The sequence below is a fragment of the Homo sapiens genome, chromosome 12 (assembly GCF_000001405.40).
Source record: "Homo sapiens chromosome 12, GRCh38.p14 Primary Assembly".
NCBI classification, from domain to species: domain Eukaryota; kingdom Metazoa; phylum Chordata; class Mammalia; order Primates; family Hominidae; genus Homo; species Homo sapiens.
Window position 1 is genome coordinate 87929799 of NC_000012.12, and position 24468 is coordinate 87954266.

Below are 24468 nucleotides of genomic sequence, written 5' to 3' on the forward strand. Positions count from 1 at the left end.
TCAGATGTGTCCCCCACACCTGAGTTAAGAAAAGGCTAGTAGGGATGAAGAAGTAGATGAGTTTTAGCTATATTAGACGGTGTTGGACAAGATTACATTGTTTGCATCAATTACCAGTACAATTGGGTCACTTAAGAACCTGCATCATATTTACTAAACTGAAAAACAAAAACATCAAGACCTTGCCTTTGGGGAAAAAATTGGCTCTGCAAATTCTGGTATTATATAGAATAATTGTCTTCGCTACCATGCAATGATTATAAATTAGGTGTTTGTTCTAAGTAGAGAAATAGTCTTGGGAGGAAAATTCCACCCTATGGACAGTGAGTTTGAAGATATTATTTAATTACCAAGAAAAAATACTCAAAGAATGACATCCTTTACCAGCAGCAGTAACAGCAGGCATGAGTCAGAGTCTTGGCACATGAGCAGATGCTCAAGCCCTGAAACTTCACTTGTAAGCAGTTGAAACCAAGCACATCATTTCAACATGTCACAGTTATTTGACATTTCAGGAGAAAGATTACCAATTAGTTTAAGTAATTTAGCCAAAACCTTAGGAAATTTTTTCACATTATTTCCACCTTGTAGCATTATCGTGTGTCTCCAATTTCTACTTTTCCTATATACTTCCCAAGTGTGTTATTCAGAGAGATCCAAAGCCTGTTCAAATAGTTCACGGAAATCCCATAAGCTCCAGCAGTATCCTGGGTAGGTAATAGGACTAAATTAGGAATCTTTCATTTATCTTCAGTGCTGAAAGTTCAGATTCTCAAGTGTTGATCTGATTGCAAAATATTCCCTGCAAAATGTTCCTTGACAGTCACACAGGTCAAGTATTATTTTAAACTACAATCCCACATTATTGTTACTATACAAGAATACAAATGGTCATTTCTGGATATTGGCATTGCTGGATGATGTAAATTTGAACTTTAAATGTATTCTTGGTCACAATGTGTTCCATCAGACATGTAAATTGAATTGGCCCACATGAGCACCACCCCAGCAGGTGAGTTTAAACTGAAGACAGAATGCTGCCCACTGGCATGTTGGCACTATACAGAGCAGCTGCCAAATAGCTTTGTGCTTGCTTCTCTTGTTAGAGTTTTATTTTCTCCAGCTTGTTGTTCCCTCAGGCAAGACACATGGGCAAGGAAAGCAAGAGATGCTTTTAGTCTCCAAGAGTAAATTAGACTATAAAGTAATAATCGATACAACTAATCAAATAATTATAAGAATGTAATTAATTATAATACTAAATACTAATAATGATCAATATAATAATTATAATTGTTATAATAATATAGTTAACAATAATAATAGCTAATGTTTTGATAGTATATATGGACAAGTCAGGATGTTGAGGTAGTTAGCCACTCTAAACTTTTTCTTATCCACATTTTAGAAAAGAAACTGAAGCTTGGACCTATTCAAATATTTTATCCAAAGGATCTCACTCCTGTCAGAGGCAGAATGCACATTCAATTGTATCTTCTTTGAAGTTCCTTGAAGTTTTTAAATATACATATATGCCCAATTTTATTCTAAAGGTGTGGGAAAAAATAAAACCATAACAATCTGAATATACTGCTGGTTAAAATAAAAGAGAATAATTTTGAAGAAAAAATATATTTAAGATTCAGTTCTTATTGTTCATAATTTTATGCTATCGCTAAAATATGGCATTGATGTAATAGAAATCACAATTAAAACAAGAGTGCTATCTCCCATTCTGTAACATGGACAAATGGATCTGGTGTCCTGTAACTAGTTTAGTTATTCATTCTTTTTATTTTTCTATGGTGTATTATTTCCTTTAAAGGTCTAAGATGATATATTTCCCAGGGTTTAAAAATAAGTTTCATCTATTGGGTTGATTTCACCTTGCCCTTCTTTGTTTTCACCCCTAGTACACAGCGCACAATGGTCTCTTTATTCATATCTGTGGAAAAGAACACTTACTGGTAGAACTGATACCTCCTAATCTCAATGAAGTCTAAGCCAGCAGCACTCCAGCGATGATTTTCTTTTTCCTTTTTTTCTTTGCTTGAATTCTGGACACATAATCATGCCATTATAAATACTGCCTATGGGATATGAGAAAGCAAAGTCATTTGTGTGCTACACCAACTGACATACCAGATGACATCCAACTGCGTAACATTCAGGCTGGTAAAACAAACAGAAACTATGATGAAGCTTCCATGCATGCAGGAGAATTGCAAGCATATGCTTGCCATGCCTTTCTTAATCAAACATGCTCAGATTATTCTAAGTATTTTATGTATTATGTTCCACTCAGAACACTACAGTGAGTGTGAGGCATAGGGTAAATACACAGAAAGTGTATGATGTTGGGGAAGTGAGGACAACTTGCTCTGTGAAATGATCGCCTATCTTTCTTCTCTCTTTTTATCATTTTTTTCTCATTCCCTACATACTGAGAACTTGGCTAACTAATCTGCAATATTATCTCAAGTTGAAAGTGAAATCAATGCTTACCACATATCTACATATCCCTCCAAAGACCTCTCCTCTTCTTTTCCTTTTCTCTTCTTCACTCTTGGATAATCTAATGGTCCACAGTACAGTGGGGAAATATTGTACCCATTATCATTTCAATACAGTTAATGAAAGAAGGACAGAGCTCTGCAGAGAAAATGATGATGCCACTTATTAAGTTATTGTCTCTCACCTCCAAACCCACGTCTCCAGCTTTGCTTTGTGATGGGACTCTGCAAACAATTTTCTTATACACAATCTACTGCCATGCTTAGTTTGACAATGTGGAGTGCTAAAAAGGAAACTGCTGTGTGGAGGAGGAGAAAAAGATTTTCTCTTTCTTGGTTCTCTGTTGGCTCCTGATGGGCTTACTGAGTACTATGGTTCCTGGCAGAGGAAAATGGTTCCTGACTTCTTCACCCTGACAGAGGCAAATCCTTCTCATTGAAGGATAGAAGACTGAGAAGCTAGAGATAGAAAAGGAAACACGCTCCTTCCATGGGTCCCCTTTGTGCTTCTTGTGGGATTCCTGTCTGCTTTGGTGTTGGGGGAGCATCAATTCAGCAACACATCTCAACCCCGGCAGAGGCAGTTCCTTCCCATAACAGCAACTGAATCCAGTTTTCAGCTTTCCCAGCACAGAATCAGCTTCATTGATACCAACACCATCTGACTGGCACCCCCTCCCCAAAAGTCTGGGTTGCAGCCCCATGGGACCCTCTTCTCAGCTCAGAGATGGCAGCACCAGCTGAATAGCACCCTTTCTTCAGAGAGGTGTGGCATGTCAGATCCTATCTTGCCAAGGGCCATGAGAAATATGACTGAATGACAAGTTAACAGACTCTCTCCAAAAGCTCTAAGGAACTTCAAGCTTTTGTGGAGTGTTCTAATAGAGCAGATGGGAGATGTGGGTCATAGCTTTAAAACTGGATAATTAGTTTTTCAGATGCCCTTAGTTGAGCGTTTTTGGACTCTATTTTTAGAGCCTGTTTTATTGCTGCCTTCACTAATTTTAACTGCTTTTTTTCTAAGAGCTTATATATCTTCGAAGGTCAATATAGTAAGCTTGTAGAGGGTAGGGTACTTCTATTTTGTATGCTCAGTACATTGACAGTACTTAATATGTCTGAAATGAAGACAACAAAGGGATAGCTTGGCTTCTGATGTATTCCTGATTTGTGTGTCGTGAACAGCAGGTTGCCAGAAAGGTTCTACGTACAGTGTATAGAGAGATAGGATTGTCCCAAAGGAATAGAATGGTAACTTAATAACAACCTTAATTTACAGTGTCAGCAGGGGAGAAAATGTAAGTAGCAGCAAGAAATGGCAAATTGCAGCTCTATAGGGCAAAGGGAAAAAAGAACCAAACAAAATTTTAAAAAACCAAGAAACTCAGGAGAGTTCTACTAAGATTGCTATAGTACAGCCTTCTTAAAACAGCACTCTCTAGGGCCTGCCTATTGGCATCATTAATATCATAAGCTTGGAATAGATGCTGTGAAACCCTATGAAGCTACCAAAGAATGAGGAAAACTGAAGGGATGAATAATACAATGAAAACACAGAAGTCCTAAGCTTATGAGGCTATTTATTCCGCAGCAATTTCATCACAGAGCGAGCAGATCACTTTTCCAGTGCCTTAAATCAAACAGCAGGTATCTACAGCCTCAAAGTAAAAAGTATTAAGTATTAACCAACTTTCAGATTTGAGACATTGCAGAGGCAGAGATGGAAGATTTCTCAGGATGGTTTCTCTCCCACTTTTTTTTTTTTTTTTTGCTTTCTTTACCTTCATATCTTCAAACTTGATAGTAATAAAATTTGGTACCATATCTTTCCTATGTGGATGTCATTGTTATCTTTCCTGTGAAGAACAGAACAGTTCTCATATGAGTCATGGCCTAAGTTTTAGTCCAAACCAATGTAAGTATTTTGGAAATGTTTACATTGAAGACACTTCTGTTGCTTTTTTTTTTATTAATAGAAGTATAAAATAGAGACTCAAAATCAAGACAAAGGAGGCTAAGGTATTTTTAATTTCTCCTTATAAATCAAAATCTTAAGGAAGTATTAGCATTAGTTCTGGAGAAGTCTCCAGAGGAAAGTATCCTGGACCTCAGATTCATAAGATCATAAAATCTCAGTATTGGAAGAGAACCAAAAGGTCATCTATACAAGAAAACAGCAAGCTTTTTCTATAAAGAGCCAGTTAATATTTTAGGCTTTGGGTGTCACAGTATCTGCCATAATATTCAACCCTACCATTGTAGCTTGAAAGCAGTGTATACAATATATGGAGCATGGTGAGGTTCCAATAAAATTTGATTTACAAATATAGGCAGAGAGATAGATTTGGCCAATGGGTTTTGGTTTTGCCACCGATGATCTAGACTATCCAGCTATGAGAAGGAAAAAAAAAAAAAAAAAAAAAAAAACGAAGGAAAACTTCTTTAAGATGAAACTCAAAATATGTCTGCCAGTATTGAAAACAGCATGGAGGAACTTCAAAAAATTAAAAACAGAACTAAAATATGATCCAGCAATCCCACTACTGAGTATATGTCCAGAGGAAATGAAATCAGTATGTTCAGTATGTTAAAGAGATATCTGCACTCCCACGTTCACTGCAGAAGTATTCACAGTAGCTAAGATAAAGAATCAACCTTAGTGTCTGTCAATGGATAAATGAGTAAAACAAATACTATATATATATACACACACACATAAGCACATATGTATGTATATACACATACACACAACAAAATACTATTCAGCATTAAAAGAAAAAATCCTGTCATTTGTGACAACATGGATGAACCTATAAACATTACATTAAGTGAAATAAGCCAGACACAGAAAGACCAATAGCACATGATCTCACTTAAATGTGAAATCCAAAAAAGGGGAACTCATTGAAATAGAGAGTAGAATGGTATCTACTCTCTACTGGGGCTGGGTTAGGAAGTAGTGGGTTGCAAAGATGTTGGTCAAAATATATAAAATTTCAGTTATGCTAGATGAACAAGTTCAAGAGGTTGATTATGCAACATGGTGACCATAGTTAATAACAATGCATTTTGAAAACCACTTAGAGAATAGACTTTAAGGGTTCTCACTACAAAAAAATGTGTCCCCACCCAAATCTCACCTTGAATTGTAAACCCCATAATCATCATGGATCATGAGAGGTATGTGGTGGGAGGTAATTGAATCATGATGGTGGTTTCTGCCATGCCATTCTTGTGATAGCAAGTGAGTCTCATGAGATCTGATGATTTTATAAAGGTCTATCATTTTCCTTACTGACATTCTCTGTCCTGCTGCCCTTTGAAGAGGTAAGTTCTGCCATGATTGTAAGTTTCCTGAGGCCTTCCCAGCTGTGCAGAACTGCTAGTTAATTAAATCTCTTTTCTTTATACATTACCCAGTCTCAGGTATTTCTTCATAGCAGCATGAGAACAGACTAATATAGTAAATGGGTGTATTAGTCTTTTTTCACACTGCTAATAAAGACATACCTGAGACTGGGTAATTTATAAAGAAAAAGAGGTTTAATTGACTCACAGTTCACATGGCCGAGGAGGCCTCACAATCATGGCATAAGGCAAAGAAGGAGCAAAGTCATGTCTTACATGGTGACAGGCAAGAGAGAGCATGTGCAGGGGAACTCACTTTTATAAAACCATCAGATCTCATGAGACTTACTCACTATCACAAGAACAGCACAGGAAAGACCCACCCCATCATGATTCAGTTACCTCCTATCAGGTCCCTCCTATGACGTACGGGAATTATGGGAGCAACAATTCAGGATGAGATTTGGGTGGGGACACAACAAAACCACATCAATTGGTGCTGAGGTAGTGGGGTGCTGCTGTAAAGATACCCGAAAATATGGAAGTGACTTTGGAACTGGGTAATAGGCAGAGTTTGGAAGAGTGTGGAGGGCTCAGAACAAGACAGAAAGGTGAGGGAATGTTTGGAATTTCCTAGAGACTTGATGAATGGTTTTGACCAAAATGCTGATAGTGATATGGAAAATGAAGTTCAGGCTGAAGTAATCTCAGATGGAGATGAGGAACTCTTGGAAACTAGAGCAAATGTGACACACACTATGCTTTAGTAAAGAGATTGGTGACATTCTGTCCCTTCCCCAGAGATCTGTGGAACTTTGAACTTGAGAGAGATGATTTAGGGTATCTGGTGGAAGAAATTTTTAAGCAGCAGGCATTCAAGAGGTGACAGAGGGCTGTGTGTGGTGGCTCACACCTGTAATCTCAGCACTCTGGGAGGCTGATGAGGCCAGATCACTTGAGGTCAGGAGTTTACTCAAGACCAGCTTGGCCAACATAGTGAAACCCCATCTCTACTAAAAATATAAAAATTTGCTGGGCATGGTGGCACACACCTGTAATCCCAGCTACTCAGGAGGCTGAGGCACAAGAATCGCTTGAACCCGGGAGACAAAGGTTGCAGTGAGCCAAGATCATACCACTGCACTCCAGCTTGGGTGACAGAGTGAGACTCTGTCTCAAAAAAAAAAGGGGGTGGGGGTGACAGAGCATAAAAGTTTAGAAAATGTACAGTAGAAAAGAAAAGCAGTAGAAAAGAAAAACCCATTTTCTAGGGAGAAATTCAAGCCTGCTGCAGAAATTTGCATAAGTAACTATGAGCCAAATGCTATTCACCAGGACAATGGGGAAAATATTTCCAGGGCATGTCAGAGACCTTCAAGGCAACCCCTCCCATCACAGACCTGGAGGCCTAGGAGGGAAAAATGATTTCCTAGGCGGGCCCTGGGCCTTCCTGCTTTGCGCAGCCTCAGGACTTTGTGCCTTGCATCCTAGCCATTCCAGCTGTGGCTAAAAGGGGCCAAGATACACCTCAGGCCATTGCTTTAGAGGGTGCAAGCCCCAAGCCTTGGCAGCTTCCATGTGGTGTTGGCCCTGTGGGTGCACAGAAGATAAGAATTGAGGTTTGGAAACCTCTGTCTAAATTCCAGAGGATGTATGGAGATGCCTGGATGTCCAGGCAGAAGTTTGCTGCAGGGGCAGAGCCTTCATGGAGAACCTCTGCTAGGGCAGTGTGGAAGGGAAATGTGGAGCTGGAGCCCCCACAAAGAGTCCCCACTGGGGCACTGCCTAGTGGAGCTGTGAGAAGAGGGCCACCATTCTCCAGACCTCAGAATGGTAGATCGACTGACAGCTTGGACTGTGCTCCTGGAAAAGCAGCAAACACTCAATGCCAGCCCATGACAGCAGACAGGAGGGGGGCTGTACCCTGCAAAGCCAAAGGGGTGGAGCTGCCCAGGGCTGTGGGAGCCCACCTCTTGAATCAGCATGCCCTGCATGTGAGACATGGAGTCAAAGGAGATCATTTTGGGACTTTAAGGTTTAATGACTGCCCTGTTGGATTTTGGACTTGCATGGGGCCTTAGCCCCTTTGTCTTGGCCAATTTCTCCCATTTGGAACAGGTGTATTTACCCAATGCCTGTATCCCCATTGTATCTCAGAAGTAACTTACTTGCTTTTGATTCTACAGTCTCGTAAGTGGAAGGTGTTTGCCTTGTCTCAGATGAGACTTCAGACTTGGACTTTTGGGTTAATGCTAGAACGAGTTAAGACTTTGAGGGACTGTAGGAAGGGCATGATTGTGTTTTAAATGTGAGGACATGAGATTTGTGTGGGGCCACGGGCAGAATGGTAGGGTTTGGCCATGTCCCCAACCAAATTTGATCTTGAATTGTAATCCCCATAATCCCCAAGTGTCATAAGAGGGACCTGGTGTAAGGTAATTGAATCATGAGGATGGTTCCCCCATGCTGTGCTTGTGATAGTGAGTGAGTTCTCACAAGATCTGATGGTTTTATGAGTGTCTGGCATTTCCCTTGCTGGCACTCATTCTCTCTCCAGCCACCCTGTAAAGAGGTGCCTTCTGCCATGATTGTAAGTTTCCTGATGCCTCACCAGCCATGCAGAACTGTGAGTGAACTAAACCTCTTTTCTTTATAAATTGCCCAGTCTTGGGTATTTCTTCACAGAAGTGTGAGAACAGACTAATACAGTATGTGAGACAGTGGATATGTTAATTTGCTCAATTTAGCCATTTCTTAATGTATACACATTTAAAAATATCACATACAGGATAAATATATACAATTTTTATTCATCAATTAGAAAACAAATAAATGCATAAATACATAAATGCATAAATAAGAGGTCTGAGATATCAGACCTCCATTTGATTATTCATCTTTTTATATTTTAAGTATAATAGTCCAACCGTTAAGGGCATAAGTCTTAAATGATACATTTCTACATATGTATATACCCCTGTAAACACCAACCAGATCAAGACAGAACACTTCCAATACTGCCAAAACACCCTCTTGTTCCCCTTCAGAATCAATTATACATAAAAATAATGCCTATTCTTACTTTATCCATATGAATAAATGTTGTTTCTTTTTTAACATTATATAAATGGAGTTGGGCAATTTCTCAATTGTTGTATGAGGTTTCTGTTGCTCAACATTATGACTGAGGAATTACATCATTTTATAAAACTCATATTCTAAAATGTGCAATTTCAAACGTTTATTAGAGCATTATCTATCATAATATACTAAATATTCAATGATAGGACAATGTTTTCTTAAGTGAGGTAGATATTTTTGTGTCCACAGTATTTATTTATAACTTAAATTATATTAGAATTGTCTTGAGCCCCCATCTAACACACTGGCAAAATCCTTATTACTGAACTCTTGGGGCTCCTGCCCTTCCCATCATCCAGGCCCTTTACCCCTCATCTAAGATCCATAACTGCTTTATGAAGTACAAAAGAGGGGTAAGTCAGACATCCTTTCCCAGACTAGAAAGAAATCAAGTGTATACCAGGCTACAGCTGTCATCACTGCAGTTTGTCCTCCCCACCACAAAGGTGAGCTTTGCAGAATGTTTCACCCCAGCCCTGCTGACCCATGCCACAGGGAATTAACTGCCCAGGTCTGTCTAAGTCTCTATTGCTGAACTCCCTAATCATAATCCTTTGAAAAAGAGTCCCTCTGCAGGCAACTCCACACTCTACATTTTGAGCTGAGCCACAGGTGACCCTCACTTAAGGAGTAAAAGCTTTGTAGTGCTAAGTTTTTTAAGCATCCACACAATTACAGCATTTGCTTTCTCAGAACACCCACCTAGAGAAGAGTTGGGCCTCTGAGAGGTAGTTGGGTGTAATAGTTAACATGAACTCAAGGTTCAGATAGCTCAAATTCAATTTCCAACCCTTTAACTTACTAGCTGTGTGACTTTGGAAAGCCGTAATCTCTCTGTGCCTGTTTTTGCATATGAAAAATGGTGAATTGTAGTAGCACCTACCTTATAGAATCAATGTTAGGATTAAATGAATTAATCATGTAAAACTCTTGGAATAATGCCTGACATGTAATAAACTACATTATATAGTTATAGTAATTAATTCTGAAATGCAAAACCTTTCTACCCTACCCTAGACATTATTGTCTACCCTAGACATTATTATTCTAGTCTCCATAGGAATAAAACCTAATTGCCCAGAAAGTTCTAGTCAAATGTACCAAACTGGGCTGACACAGAAATGAAAAGACCGAAGACAAAATTGAATATATTTTATGATCTTTACTGAAAAAAGATAAACATATGCATAGAAATCGTACTGGAAAGAAATATATAAACATGTTAGCAATCATTTCTAATCTGTGAAATTATGAATAACTAATTATCTTCTTTATAAATGTTTATAATTTCTATTACAACAAACAAGTGTAACTTTTTTTTTTTTTTTTGAGACTGAGTTTTTGCTCTTTCTTGCCCAGGCTGGAGTGCAGTGGCACAATCTCGGCTCACTGCAACCTCTGCCTCCCGGGTTCAAGCGATTCTCCTGTCTCAGCCTCCCAAGTAGCTGGGACCACAGGCACTCGCCACCATGCCTGGCTAATTTTTGTGTTTTTAGTAGGGACAGGGTTTCACCATGTTGGCCAGGCTGGTCTCGAACTCCTGACCTCAGGTGATCGCCCACCACAGCCTCCCAAAATCCTGGGATTACAGGCATGAGCCACTGCGCCCAGCCAAGCAAGTGTAACTTTTAATATTAACTTTAACAATGAAATCACCTTTGTGTGTAGCTTATTTAAAATAATGAATAAAGCTTGTATATCTGTGCCAGAACTTCATCCAGTAGATTTATATCCACAGGATTTAGATGTCAGTACTCGACTGACATATCCAAACTATGTTTTGCTAGCGTGTAAAATAAGAATGATATCCCTAGTTAAATTGGTTGTCAAAATTAAATGAGAAATTGGATGATAAAGCCCTTTTATAATGTAATATACTATGCAAATGTAAGAAATTTCATTGATTTTATTATTAGATTTTAAAAAGGCATATAAGGTAATATTTTCAGAAACTCAAAGTGCTCATTTATACCAAAAACATTAGGGAAAAATGAACAAAACTTCCAGCTAAGTAAGTGATTTAAAACTTACTGAGACAGTGCCCCTTTGCTTGTATTGTGAATGAACACAGTGGGCTATTGGCTAGCTTGTATCTGCTCATATAAGAGACAACCTACATGAATATACACCAAGTGCTAGAAGATTCCATTACCACAAAAAATTATTAAAAGCTGGGTATTGTGCTAGCCATTCGGGACATAAAAATAAGTCAGACGACTGTTGTCCTCAAAAATTTCACAGTGCAGAAAATTTGGAGACAATGTCATGCACATTTATGCTAACTTAATCTAAGATCGTACATACTTTTTAATCTTCATGCAATATTATCTTATTATAATTACTTTTGTTTTTCACAAACGTAAAAAATTTACTTGGATGTTGTACACACACACACACACACACACACTCCTATTGTTTTTGATTATTAATATTGGTAGACAGATCAATGAATGTAGGCTCTGCTGCTTAATTCGATGTTCAGTTTCAGCTCTTGTGGACATCAGTTTGTTAAACAATAAGATAATGAGTCCGGAAAGTAGTTGAGTTGAAGTTGGAGGGAGCTAATAAAATAAATTTCCCAATTCCCTCTGCTCTATTTTTTTTTCTTTTGTTTTCTTTTTTTTTTTTTTTTTTTTTTTTTGACAGGGAGTCTTGCTCTGACTCCCAGGCTGGAGAGTAGAGGCGCGATCTTGGTGCACTGCAACTTCTGCCTCCTTGGTTCAAGTGATTCTCCTGCCTCAGCCTTCAGGGTAGCTGAGATTACAGGGAACCACCACCACACCGTTCTATTTTTCGTATTTTAGTAGAGACAGAGTTTCACCATGTTGGTCAGGCTGGTCTCGAACTTCTGACCTCAAATGATCCACCCGCCTCAGCCTCCCAAAGTGCTGGGATTACAGGCATGAACAACTGCAACCAACCTTTACTGTAATTTTTTAACTCTTTCCAGAATTCTTCTTTCTTTGGTCTTTCTTTTATTTTTCTCACAAAGCCAAATGTAGAGACTACCACACCAAAATTTAAGACTGGAATTTCAAGGAGGAATTAAAATAATTCTTCTGTTTGTTTTACTTATTACCACACTACCTTTTGTTACAAACATATGATCAACAGAAGTAGATGACTCTCAGAAAAGTACAGTCAATGTGTAGCCAGAGGACTGCACTTCATTGACTGGGAAGACAGTAGGATTAAATAAAATAATTTTGGACACAGAGTCACAAGACATAGGTCCTGATCCCATCCAGTGGTCCCTAATTTCCTTAGTGCAAAGTTGAATGTTTAATAAATACAAGGCTGCTGAAATACATTTTCTTTTACTCTTATCCAGATTAGTCATTGGTGATGCATATAAAATACCTTTAATCTATCCATTTTCCTCGTAATAGAGTTAAAAAATAGCAAAGAAGGAATTAAAAGAGCTGGGATGGGATACATTCACCTCCTTCATGAGGAAATACCCCTGAGGAAAAGGGAAGAAACAGGCGACCCAGTCAGTTTAAACCTTTTGTCAAGTGAACCTCTGGGTAAATAGACCATTAACATATATTAGAAAGAAGAGATTTTATCTCTGAAATGCCCTTATATTTCATTAATATCCCTGATATCACTGGATTGATTACCTGCAGTAAATAGGACCCAGGTTCTAGGAGGCATAACCCCCTGAGGGATGTCATGTAAGCTATGCAATTCCCTGGGGTAGAGAGAAAAGACGTTTTGTAATTGCAGCACTTGCCACCATGTGAGGAGACAGTTAACCATACTTAAAGACCTCATCTGTTCTGGGCCAGGGGGATGTCCAAGGCGGAAAGGAAGGATTCTGAGAAACACACTTGATATTACACACCTCTCTCTGCTTTCTCTGAGCCTTTTTCTGGGCCTTCATCTTCATAATTTTGTAGCAAATATTGATACCAGGTAAAATCTCTTAGTCCTTTGAATCTAATTTGGCAATGCAGTACTCTGTGTGAGCACATAAATATTTCAGAACTACTATATCAATAGCAATAATAGCAATTATTAAGAACTCAAACATCATTTCCTCTGAGAGAATACTCTGACTTCACCAGTATTTTGACATAATACCATAATCATGAATGTGTCCTTTGTTTTCATCAGGCTCTATATTAAGTAGTGCAATTGTGCCATAGTTAACAAAGAGGTTCCCCAAATTTAATAGTTTTAGGAACAGGAAGTACATTTATTTCTCTCATAAAAGTCTCAAAGAGGTGTTTCCTGTTGGAATGGGGAGGAAAGGTCTGCTCCATATATTGATTTGAGGACTCAGACTTATGGAGGCTCTCCCATCTTCAAAATATGTGGCTTCCAGATTCACCCTGGGGCTTGTGATCCTGTTCAGCCAAAAAGCAGAGAGAGCATGGAAGAGCAATTTGAGGTATTTTATGTGCCAGGCCTAGAAGTACATCCATCACTCTGGTCACTTCCTTGGCCTCAAGCTTAGTCACATGGCTTCACCTAACTGCAAAAGAGGCTATTAAATGTAGTCTAGCTTTATTCTAAGAAAGAAAGGGGAAATCGATTTCAGAGGACAGCTAACAGTCCCTGCCACAGGCCCTAGACATGGATTGATTCTTTTCTGAAAGTTTAAAAAAAAATCAGACAATTAAGAAAGGTCAGGCCAAGGATTTCTTGAGAAGTCTCTATTTTATATCAAATATAATATTAAGTAACAACCATATATTTATTTCACTGTTTGCTTAGCCCTCTGCTAATGAGGTTTCCTCATTTATTTAAATGGCTGAGGAGTGCAATCTTCTCCCCAACCTTATTCACCTTAGAAAAAGGAGAGATGACTATGGCTAGTCATTTTCTACAGATATCACCTGGCAGCTGCATTCAAATAAAAAATATATCCTCAGTTCTTCTAATACTTGACTCTGTCTTTTATAAACAGGTTGATAATTGGGTATAATGATGCAGGACAAGCAAGTCTCAAAAGTGTGGCTTAACTCAGGAGGGTTCTTGGCTTTGCCTAGGAAAGAATTCAAGGGCAAGCCAGTGCTATTACACAGCAATCTTTTTTGAATGCCACTGTTCTTTGCAGGGCGGAGCTAACTCACAGGCAATGCGCCCAGAATGGGCAACATATGGGCTGTTGGCAACTGTATTTATACCCACTTATACCTACTTTCAGTTACATGCAAATTAAGGGGCAAGCTAATGCAAATTGATGGGTGGGTTATTTAGAACTTTTTAGGAAAGGGGAAATAACTTCTGGGTCATTGCCATGGAAAGGGTTGGTAACGTCTATGTTACAAATGCCATGGCATTTGTAAACTGGCATGGCATTGGGTGGGAGTGTCTTATGCTAATGGACAATAAGGGCAGCTATGGATATCTTCCATTGCCATCTGCTGGTTCTTGCCAGTTTCTTCACTTCATCCTGTTGGAATTAAGAAATAAGTCCTGTTGATCCTCTACCTCAATAAGATCCAAGAACAACCTCTTTTTAATATTCGAGGCACTGTAAGGCAGTGGCATAGTTTATATTCTCTAATGGAAAAATAGAAAACTAGAAAATAGCAAAGGTAAATTCTGACTAGAGGGAGATATAGAAATTTAAAAGAAAATGACTCATTTCTTTTATCCTTTTGTTGTAACATGTACAAGTTATTTTTTAAGATGTAACAGCTGGAACCTATAGTACCTAACTCCAGGAACAATGGTGACTATTTTTTAATGTTGAAGGTGAAGGAAGAGCTATCACAAGGCAAAAATCCAAAAAGTTTCTCAGCACATGAGTAGCATCTTCCACGGACCCCTTGGGATCCAGAAGAGGTCAAATCCCTCAGTTATATATTATAGCTCCACGTAGCTTGCTTTATGACAACCACAAACATGCAATATATTTTGTGGTTATTTTATTTGTGCCTTTCACACCTCCTCAACAGTAAGCTTCATAAGAGCAGGAACCTGTTTGTTTTGGCTTACCATTTAATCCCCAGTTTCTAGCAAAGGAATTGACATATAATAGAAACCCAATAATAGTTGGTAAATAAATAAATGGAAAAAAAGAGATAATGGTAGTTAACATTTATTGACTCTTTCTATGCCTACAGCAACCATGGCTTATGGTCCCAAGAAGCATCTGACATTGTTTGCAGCTCCACCATGGGATTCTGGATAAACTGACTGGTGTGTTTGCTTCTTGTCCATTTACTAGTCCCCATAAGCTGAAACAGTCTCTCCCCATCCTCACTTTTCCTAAGGAAGAGACTTACATATACCCTGACAATGCTCCAATTAAAAGACACAGATTGGCAAATTGGATACAGAGTCAAGACACATCAGTGTGCTGCATTCAAGAGACCCATCTCACATACAGAGACACATATAGGCTCAAAATAAAGTGATAGAGGAAGATCTACCAAGAAAATGGAAAGCAAAAAAAAAGCAGGGGTTGCAATCCTAGTCTCCGATAAAACAGACTTTAAGCCAACAAAGGACAAAAGAGACAAAGAAGGCCATTGCATAATGGTAAAGGGATCAATTCAACAAGAAGTACTAACTATCCTAAATATATATGCACCCAATACAGGAGCACCCAGATTCATAAAGCAAGTCCTTAGAGACCTAAAAGGAGACTGAGATTCCCACACAATAACAATGGGATACTTTAACACCCCACTGTCAGTATTAGACAGATCAACAAGACAGAAGGTTAACAAGAATATCTAGGACTTGAACTCAGCTCGGCACCAAGCAGACCTAATAAACATCTACAGAACTCTCGACCCCAAATCAAAAGAATATACATTCTTCTCAGCACCACATCACACTTATTCCAAAATTGACCACATAGTTGGAAATAAAGCACTCCTTAGCAAATTTAAAAGAACAGAAATCACAACAAACTGTCTTTCAGACCACAGTGCAATCAAATTAGAACTCAGGATTTAAGAAACTCACTCAAAATTGCACAACTACAAGGAAACTGAACAACCTGCTCCTGAATGACTACTGGGTAAATAATGAAATGAGGCCGAGCGTGGTGGCTCATGCCTGTAATCCCAGCACTTTGGGAGGCCAAGGCAGGCAGATCACGAGGTCAGGAGATCGAGACCATCCTGGCTAACACAGTGAAACGCCGTCTCTACTGAAAATACGAAAACAATTAGCTGGGCGTGTAGTCCCAGCTACTGGGGAGGCTGAGGCAGGAGAATGGTGTAAACCCAGGAGGCGGAGCTTGCAGTGAGTGAGCAGAGATTGTGCCACTGCATTCTAGCCTGAGTGACAGAGTGAGACTCTGTCAAAAAAAAAAAAAAAAAAAGAAATGAAGGCAGAAAAAAAGATGTTCTTTGAAAACAATGAGAACAAAGACACAACGTACCGGAATCTCTGGGATACATTTAAAGCAGTATGTAGAGGGAAATTTATAGCACTAAATGCCCACAACAGAAAGCAGAAAAGATCTAAAATCGACACCCTAACTTCACAATTAAAAAAACTAGAGAAGCAAGAGCAAACAAATTCAAAAGCTAGCAGAAGGCAAGAAATAACTAAGATCAGAGCAGAACTGAAGGAGATAGAGACACACACAGAAAAAAACCCTTCCAAAAATCAATGAATACAGGAGCTGGTTTTTTGAAAAGATTAACAAAATAGATAGACCGCTAGCAAGACTAATAAAGAAGAAAAAAGAGAAGAATCAAATAGACACAATAAAAAATGATAAAGGGGATATCACCACCGATCCCACAGAAATACAAACAACCATCAGAGAATACTGTAAACACCTCTACACAAATAAACCAGAAAATCTAGAACAAATGGATAAATTGCTGGACACATACACCCTCCCAAGACTAAGCCAGGAAGAAGTTGAATTGCTGAAGAGACCAATAACAGGCTCTGAAATTGAGGCAATAATTAATAGCCTACCAACCAAAAAAAGTCCAGGACCAGATGGATTCACAGCCGAATTCTACCAGAGGTACAAGGAGGAGCTGGTACCATTCCTTCGGAAACTATTCCAATCAGTAGAAGAAGAGGGAATCCTACCTAACTCATTTTATGAGGCTGGCATCATCCTGATACCAATGCTGGCAGAGACACAACAAAAAAAGAGAATTTTAGACCAATATCCCTGATGAACATTGATGCAAAAATCCACAATAAAATACTGGCAAACCAAATCCAGCAGCACAGCAAAAAGCTTATCCACCCAGATCAAGTTGGCTTCATACCTGGGATGCAAGGCTGGTTCAACTTATGCAAATGAGTAAACGTAATCCATCACATAAACAGAACCAAAGACAAAAACCACACGATTATCTCAGTAGATGCAGAAAAGGCCTTCGACAAAATTCAACAGCCCTTCATGCTAAAAACTCTCAATAAACTATCTATTGATAGAACACATCTCAAAATAATAAGAGCTATTTATGACAAACCCACAGCCAGTATCATACTGAATGGGCAAAAACTGGAAGCATTCCCTTTGAAAACTGGCACAAGACAGGGATGCCCTCTCTCACCACTTCTATTCAACACGGTGTTGGAAGTTCTGTCCAGGACAATCAGGCAAGAGAAAGAAATAAAGGATATTCAATTAGGAAAAGAGGAAGTCAAATTGTCCCTGTTTGCAGATGACATGATTATATATTTAGAAAACCCCATCATCTCAGCCCAAAATCTCCTTAAGCTGATAAGCAACTTCAGCAAAGTCTCAGGATACAAAATCAATGTGCAAAAATCACAAGCATTCTTATACACCAATAACAGACAAACAGAGAGCCAAATCATGAGTGAACTCCCATTCACAATTGCTTCAAAGAGAATAAAATACCTAGGAATCCAACTTACAAGGGATGTGTAGGACCTCTTCAAGGAGAACTACAAACCACTGGAATGAAATAAAAGAGGACACAAACAAATGGAAGATCATTCCAGGCTCATGGATAGGAAGAATCAATATCATGAAAATGCCCATACTGCCCAAGGTAATCTACAGATTCAATGCCATCCCCACCAAACTACCAATGACTTTCTTCACAGAATTGGAAAAAACTACTTTAAAGTTCATATGGAACCAAAATAGCCCACATTGCCAAGACAATCCTAAGCAAAAAAAACAAAGCTGGAGGTATCCTGCTACCTGACTTCAAGCTATACTACAAGGCTGCAGTAACCAAAACAGCATGGTACTGGTACCAAAACAAAGATATAGACCAATGGAACAGAACAGAGCCCTCAGAAATAACACCACAAACTTACAACCGTCTGATCTTTGACAAACCAGACAAAAACAAGAAATGAGGGAAGGATTCCCTATTTAATAAATGGTGCTGGGAAAACTGGCCAGCCATATGTAGAAAGCTAAAACTGGATCCCTTCTTTACACCTTATATAAAGATTAATTCAAGATGGATTAAAGACTTAAATGTTAGACCTAAAACTATAAAAACCCTAGAAGAAAACCTAGGCAATACCATTCAGGACATAGGCATGAGCAAGGACTTCATGTCTAGAACACCGTAAGCAATAGCAACAAAAGCCAAAATAGACAAATGGGATCTAATTAAACTAAAGAGCTTCTGCACAGCAAAAGAAACTACCATCAGAGTGAACAGGCAACCTAGAGAATGGGAGAAAATTTTTGCAATCTACCCATCTGACAAAGGGCTAATATCCAGTATCTGCAAAGCACTTTAACAAATTTACAAGAAAGAATCAAACAACCCCATCAAAAAGTGGGCAAAGGATATGAACAGACACTTTTCAAAAGAAGACATTTATGCAGCCAACAGACAAATGAAAAAATAAATGCTCATCATCTCTGGCCATCAGAGAAATGCAAATCAAAACCACAATGAGATACCATCTCACACCAGTTAGAATGGTGACCATTAAAAAGTCAGGAAACAACAGGTTCTGGAGAGGATGTGGAGAAATAGGAATGCTTTTACACTGTTGGTGGGACTGTAAACTAGTTCAACCATTGTGGAAGACAGTGTGGCGATTCCTCAAGGATCTAGAACTGGAAATACCATTTGACACAGCGATCCCATTAATGGGTATATACCCAAAGGGTTATAAATCATGCCACTATAAAGACACATGCACACATATGTTTATTGTGGCACTATTCACAATAGCAAAGACTTGGAACCGACCCAAATGTCCATCAATGATAGACTGGATAAAGAAAATATGGCATATATACACCATGGAATACTCTGCAGCCAAAAAAAAGGATGAGTTTATTTCCTTTGTAGGGACATGGATAAAGCTGGAAACCATCATTCTCAGCAAACTGTCACAAGGACAGAAAACCAAACACTGCATGTTCTCACTCATAGGTGGGAAATGAACAACGAGAACACTTGGACACAGGGTGGGGAACACTACACACCGGGGCCTGTTGTGGGGTGGGGGAGTGGGAGAGGGTTAGCATTAGGAGAAATACCTAATGTAAATGATGAGTTAATGGGGGCAGCAAACCAACATGGCACATGTATACATATGTAACAAACCTGCACATTGTGCACATGTACCCTAAAACTTAAAGTATTATAAAATAAAATAAAATAAACAATTTACAAGAAAAAGAAACAACCCCATTAAAAAGTGAGGAAAGGACATGAAGAGACACTTCTCTAAAGAAGACATACATGTGGCCAACAAACATATGAAAAAAAGCTCAACATCACTGATCATCAGAGAAATGCAAATCAAAACCACAATGAGATACCATCTCACAGCAGTCGGAATAGCTAATTAAAAAGTCAAAAAACAACAGATACTGGCAAGGTTGTGGGGAAAAAGGAACACATTTACACTGTTGGTGGGAATGTAAATTAGTTCAACCATTGTGGAAGACAGTGTCGCGATTCCTCAAAGACCTAGAGGCAGAAATACCACTTGATGCAGCAATCCCATTACTAGATATATACCCAAAGGAATGTGAATCATTCTATTATAAAGGTACATTAACACATTATGTTCATTGCAGGACTATTCACAATAGTAAAGGCATGGAATCCACCTAAATGCCCATCAATAATAGACTGGATAAAGAAAATATGGTACATATACACCATGGAATACTATGCAGCCATAAAAAGGAATGAGATCATGTCTTTTGCAGGGGCATGGATGGCACTGGAAGCCATCATTCTCAGCAAACTAATGCAGAAACAGAAAATCAAACACTGCATGTTCTCACTTATAAGTAGGAGTTAAATTATGAGAACACATGGACACACACTGGAGCATGTTGGAAGTTGCAGGATGAGAGAAAGGTGAGCTTCAGGAAGAATAGCTAATGGATGCCGGCTTAATACTTAGGTGATGAGATGATCTGTACAGCAAATCACCATGGCACATGTTTAACTGTGTAACAAACCTGCACATCCTGCACATGTACCCCTGAACTGAAATAAAAGTTGGAAAAAAAAGAAAGATTTGCATGCAGTGGTTCATTAAGATCAATGGCAAGGTCTGAACTGATATAACCTATCCTGCTGGATTCATGAATGTCATCAGCATTGATAAGACTGAAAAGAATTTTTGTCTGTTGTATGACACCAAAGGTCACTCTGGTGTTCATCATACCACACCTGAGGAGGCCAAGTACAAGCTGTGCAAAGTGAGAAAAATATCTGTGGTCACATGATGGTTCATGATGCTCACACCATCTGCTACTCGGATCCACTCATCAAGGTAAATGACACCATTCAAATTGATTTGGAGACTGGCAAGATTACAGATTGCATCAAGTTGAACACTGGCAACTTGTTGACACTGGTATCCTGTGACTGGAGATGCTACCTTGGGAAGAATTGGTGTGATAATGAACAGAGAGAAACATTCTAGATCTTTTGATATGGTGAATGTGAAAGATGCCAATGGAAACAGCTTTGCCACCCAGCTCTCGGACATTTTTGTTTTTGACAAGGGCAACAAACCATGGATTTATCTTCCCCAATGAAAGGGTGTCCACCTCGCCATTGCTGAAGAGAGACAAAACTGATGGCCAAACAGAGCAGTGGCTGAAATGGTCTCTAGACATGTTAGAGAGATCTTAGTACTTAATTAAAGTTAATACAGCATGAATAAAAAAAAATTGAAAGTTTCCTACATACCAGACACTGTACTGAGTAGTTCACATGCAGCTGAATGATAAAACAGACACCTCATTATCCTCCTTACTTAGATGATGAGATAGGCTGGGTCACTTGTCCAAGGTCACTCAACTAGAAAGGAGCAGAGTTGGAGAGGTTCAAAAGTTAGTCTTGATTACTCTGGACACATGCTCTATGCACTCTGTTCTTTGTTGTTCTTGTTTTTAATCTCATCTTATTGGCTGAGTAGCCCCTCTTCTACTGTAATAGCACATTATAGAAAAGAATAATGGTGGGATTTCATAAGTTGTATTCACATCGAGAAAAGTGATTTCAAGCTGTAATGTTGGTTCTTTCTTAATTATGACTTCAATCCTTAGGAGTGAGGAGAAAAGCTCAACCTATCTGACATTCTCTCTAAGAACCTAAGGCCACAGACACCTTGTAGAACGCTGACACAGGAATTTCTGACGAAGAAAGGACATATGAGTGTGTCCATAAGTATTAACACCTAAGTGTAAAGAGTAAAAACAACATTCTGAAACCAAGAACCACTCCAAAAGGAGTAAAACTTGCAACTATAAAAGGGGAACATTGGGAAGGTTTTCTCTCTCTCCTGTGGTTTGTTTACCAGGTTCAGTGTTTATAGAAATACGATCATCCCAGGCCTAATAACACTTACATTATAGTTTTTTATTGTTTAAATAACACTTTGTGACAGGGGTTTTCAACTTTTGTAGTACTGACATTTGAGACTGGGCAACTCTGTTGTGGGGGATGGGGGCTGTCCTATGCATTGTAGGATGTTTAACAGCAACCTTTAGCCACTAGATGCCAGTAACACTCCCATAATTGAGACAATCAAAATGTTTCCAAACATTGCCAAATATTCCCTAGGGGAGCAAAATTGTTTCTGGTTAAGAACAAATGCATCTGGGGAAATTTATACCAAATTTTTTTTTTTTTTTGAGAGAGAAGAGTCTCACTCTGTCACCCAGGCTGGAGTGCAGTGGCGCGATCTCAGCTCACTGCAACATCTGCCTCCCAGGTTCAAGTGATTCTCGTGCCTCAGCCTCCTAAGTAGCTGAGATAACAGGTGCCTGCCCCCACTCCCAGCTAATTTTTATATTTTAGTAGAGACAGGGTTTCACCATGTTGGTCGGGCTGGTCTTGAGCTCCTGACCTCAAATGATCCGCCCACCTCAGCCTCAAAATTCTGTGTCTAGAAGAGACAGGGAAATATGATTGAAGGGAGAAACAATGTGTAACTGATTATACAGATGAATAAAGTAAGGGAAAAATGGGGACCTTTGAGTGAGTGCAGATAATGTGTTTTAGTAGTTATGGTACTTTGTAAGTACACGTTCATAATTTGCCTTCACGGTTTTTTGGTCTATTTAGTCTATTGTCCTTCAAGATTTCAGGGCAGTAGATTATTATGTCCTAATATCCCTCTATAATGGTATAAAGAAATATTTATATCCTTCTCTATTCCAAAGAGAAAGCAAGACAGTAATTTTTTACACATAATGACATCATCCTATGAACATTATATTTGTAAATACCATTGTCAAGAAATATACCTTGATTGAATATATTTCTAGCTATAAATAGCAGTTTAATAGAGGATGAAGCTAAAGCAGTACTTGGAGAAACTGTTTCTCTCTCTCTCCCTCTCTCTCTCACACACACACACATGCAGGCAAACACACACACACACACACACACACACACCTTTTCAACTTGCCAAAATAACTACATTTCTCCAATACATAATCCTCCTCATCTCAAATTTAAAACTAGTTAGTTAGCTCCTGACAATTTATCCATGTCAGCAGCTACCTAATTTTTTAACAAGAATCAATATATTACCAGTTTTACACAACTTTATGTGTCTCTTTCACTCATATTCAAATATGTAAACTTTTTTTCTCATCCTCAGGTTTTATTAGTTTTGCTTCAACTCTGCTCTTTCTTCCTTTGTGCCCTATTTCTTTTCTTGTTTTATTTCTTGCATCCTTCTTTATTCCCTGGATAAAAGGAAGATTGTCATTCCTGACGCAAGCATTCATGACCTGCTGGCCCCAACAGCTACACTTGATTTAAGTAGGGCCTCGGGCAGCAACGTCACCTTTGTGAGGAGGCACATACACCAAAGCTGCAGCCTAGTCCTTGGGAGGAGTACCAAATTTGAACTGGGGCAACCTGGGCTGCTCTCCTCTCTACCCTAATGCCAATCATCGCTGCCAGCATGATTTCAACAAGGGCATCAAGAGAACAATATGCCTTGGAGTGTCCCCTGCTTCCTCTGGCTTTATGCTTTTATTTTCAAAAACTGTAGAAGCCCCCAGCGACAACAGAGCTTCTGTGGACCCTTATAAACTGAAATAAATTACTCTTTCTCTCTAAAACCTGTCTTTGATGAAAGGTTATGATTTGTTTATTTTCATTTCTGAAGACTCCTACTGCTAGTGTCAGTGAGTTAGAAGTAAATGTACCCAAATAAAATGTTTTACTGTCAATGCTTGCTAGATTCGTGTTCTATTCCTGTGATCGTCCTGCCCTCTAGTGTTCAGCACACTGATATCTTTCCTCACTTATTTGTTTTTATCTTCTTATCAAGATTTCTTCAGGGCTTTGCCTCTTCTATTAGTGAAATTTGATAAGACGTCTATGCTCAGCAATAAATAAATATTTGTATTTTAATTAAAGAACTGAATATAAGAATTAAGGTTTAGGAACTTTTAAATATATGAATACTTAAAATAGATATAAGCATTTTCAATTGTCATCATAGGAATTCCCTTTGAAGCATCTCAAAGTGGACACAGGTCAAAACCAAACTCCACACTCCTCATCTCCAACCTTCCATTTGTTCAGACTAAAAGCCTTGAGTTAATCTTGACCTCTTTCTTTCTCTCATCCTGCATATCTATGAGAAAACCTGTGGGTTCTCCTACTGAATAAATTGGAATACACCCTTGTCATCACTACCAAGACATGAGTTCTCTCACTAGCGTTACGGTGACAACCTTCTCACTGGTCTCCCTAAGGCCATGGCTCCCCTCCCACATGGAGTCTCTAAGCCTCACCAACCACTGTAGTTCTTTAGAAATGGAAAGCAGATTGCGGCATGACTGCTCAAAACTTGAAATTGCTTTCCACACCTCTCAGAGAAAAGGCTGAAGTCTGTAATTTGGCCTACAATCCCTATCTGACCTGCCTCCACAACCCATTGCTCTGACCTCCTCTTTTACAACACACACACTCTCTCTTTTAGTTTAGTTTGTTTATTTGTTTGTTGGGGTTTTTAAATTGATTTTATTTATTTATTTATTTATTTATTTATTTATTTATTTTGAGCCTGAGACTCACTCTAT

At 38.8% G+C, this 24468-nt stretch overlaps 1 pseudogene, besides 1 other annotated feature; it reads left to right on the forward strand.

Moving 5' to 3' along the window:
- Positions 9279–9920: an enhancer, noted in NCBI's record as "OCT4-NANOG hESC enhancer chr12:88332854-88333495 (GRCh37/hg19 assembly coordinates)". NCBI's record gives its function as "activates a minimal SCP1, AML or CMV promoter by ChIP-STARR-seq in primed H9 embryonic stem cells {active_cell/tissue: H9 hESC(primed)}" and the evidence as "EXISTENCE:reporter gene assay evidence [ECO:0000049][PMID:30033119]".
- RPS4XP15 (ribosomal protein S4X pseudogene 15) lies at positions 15088–21020 on the forward strand (annotated as a pseudogene).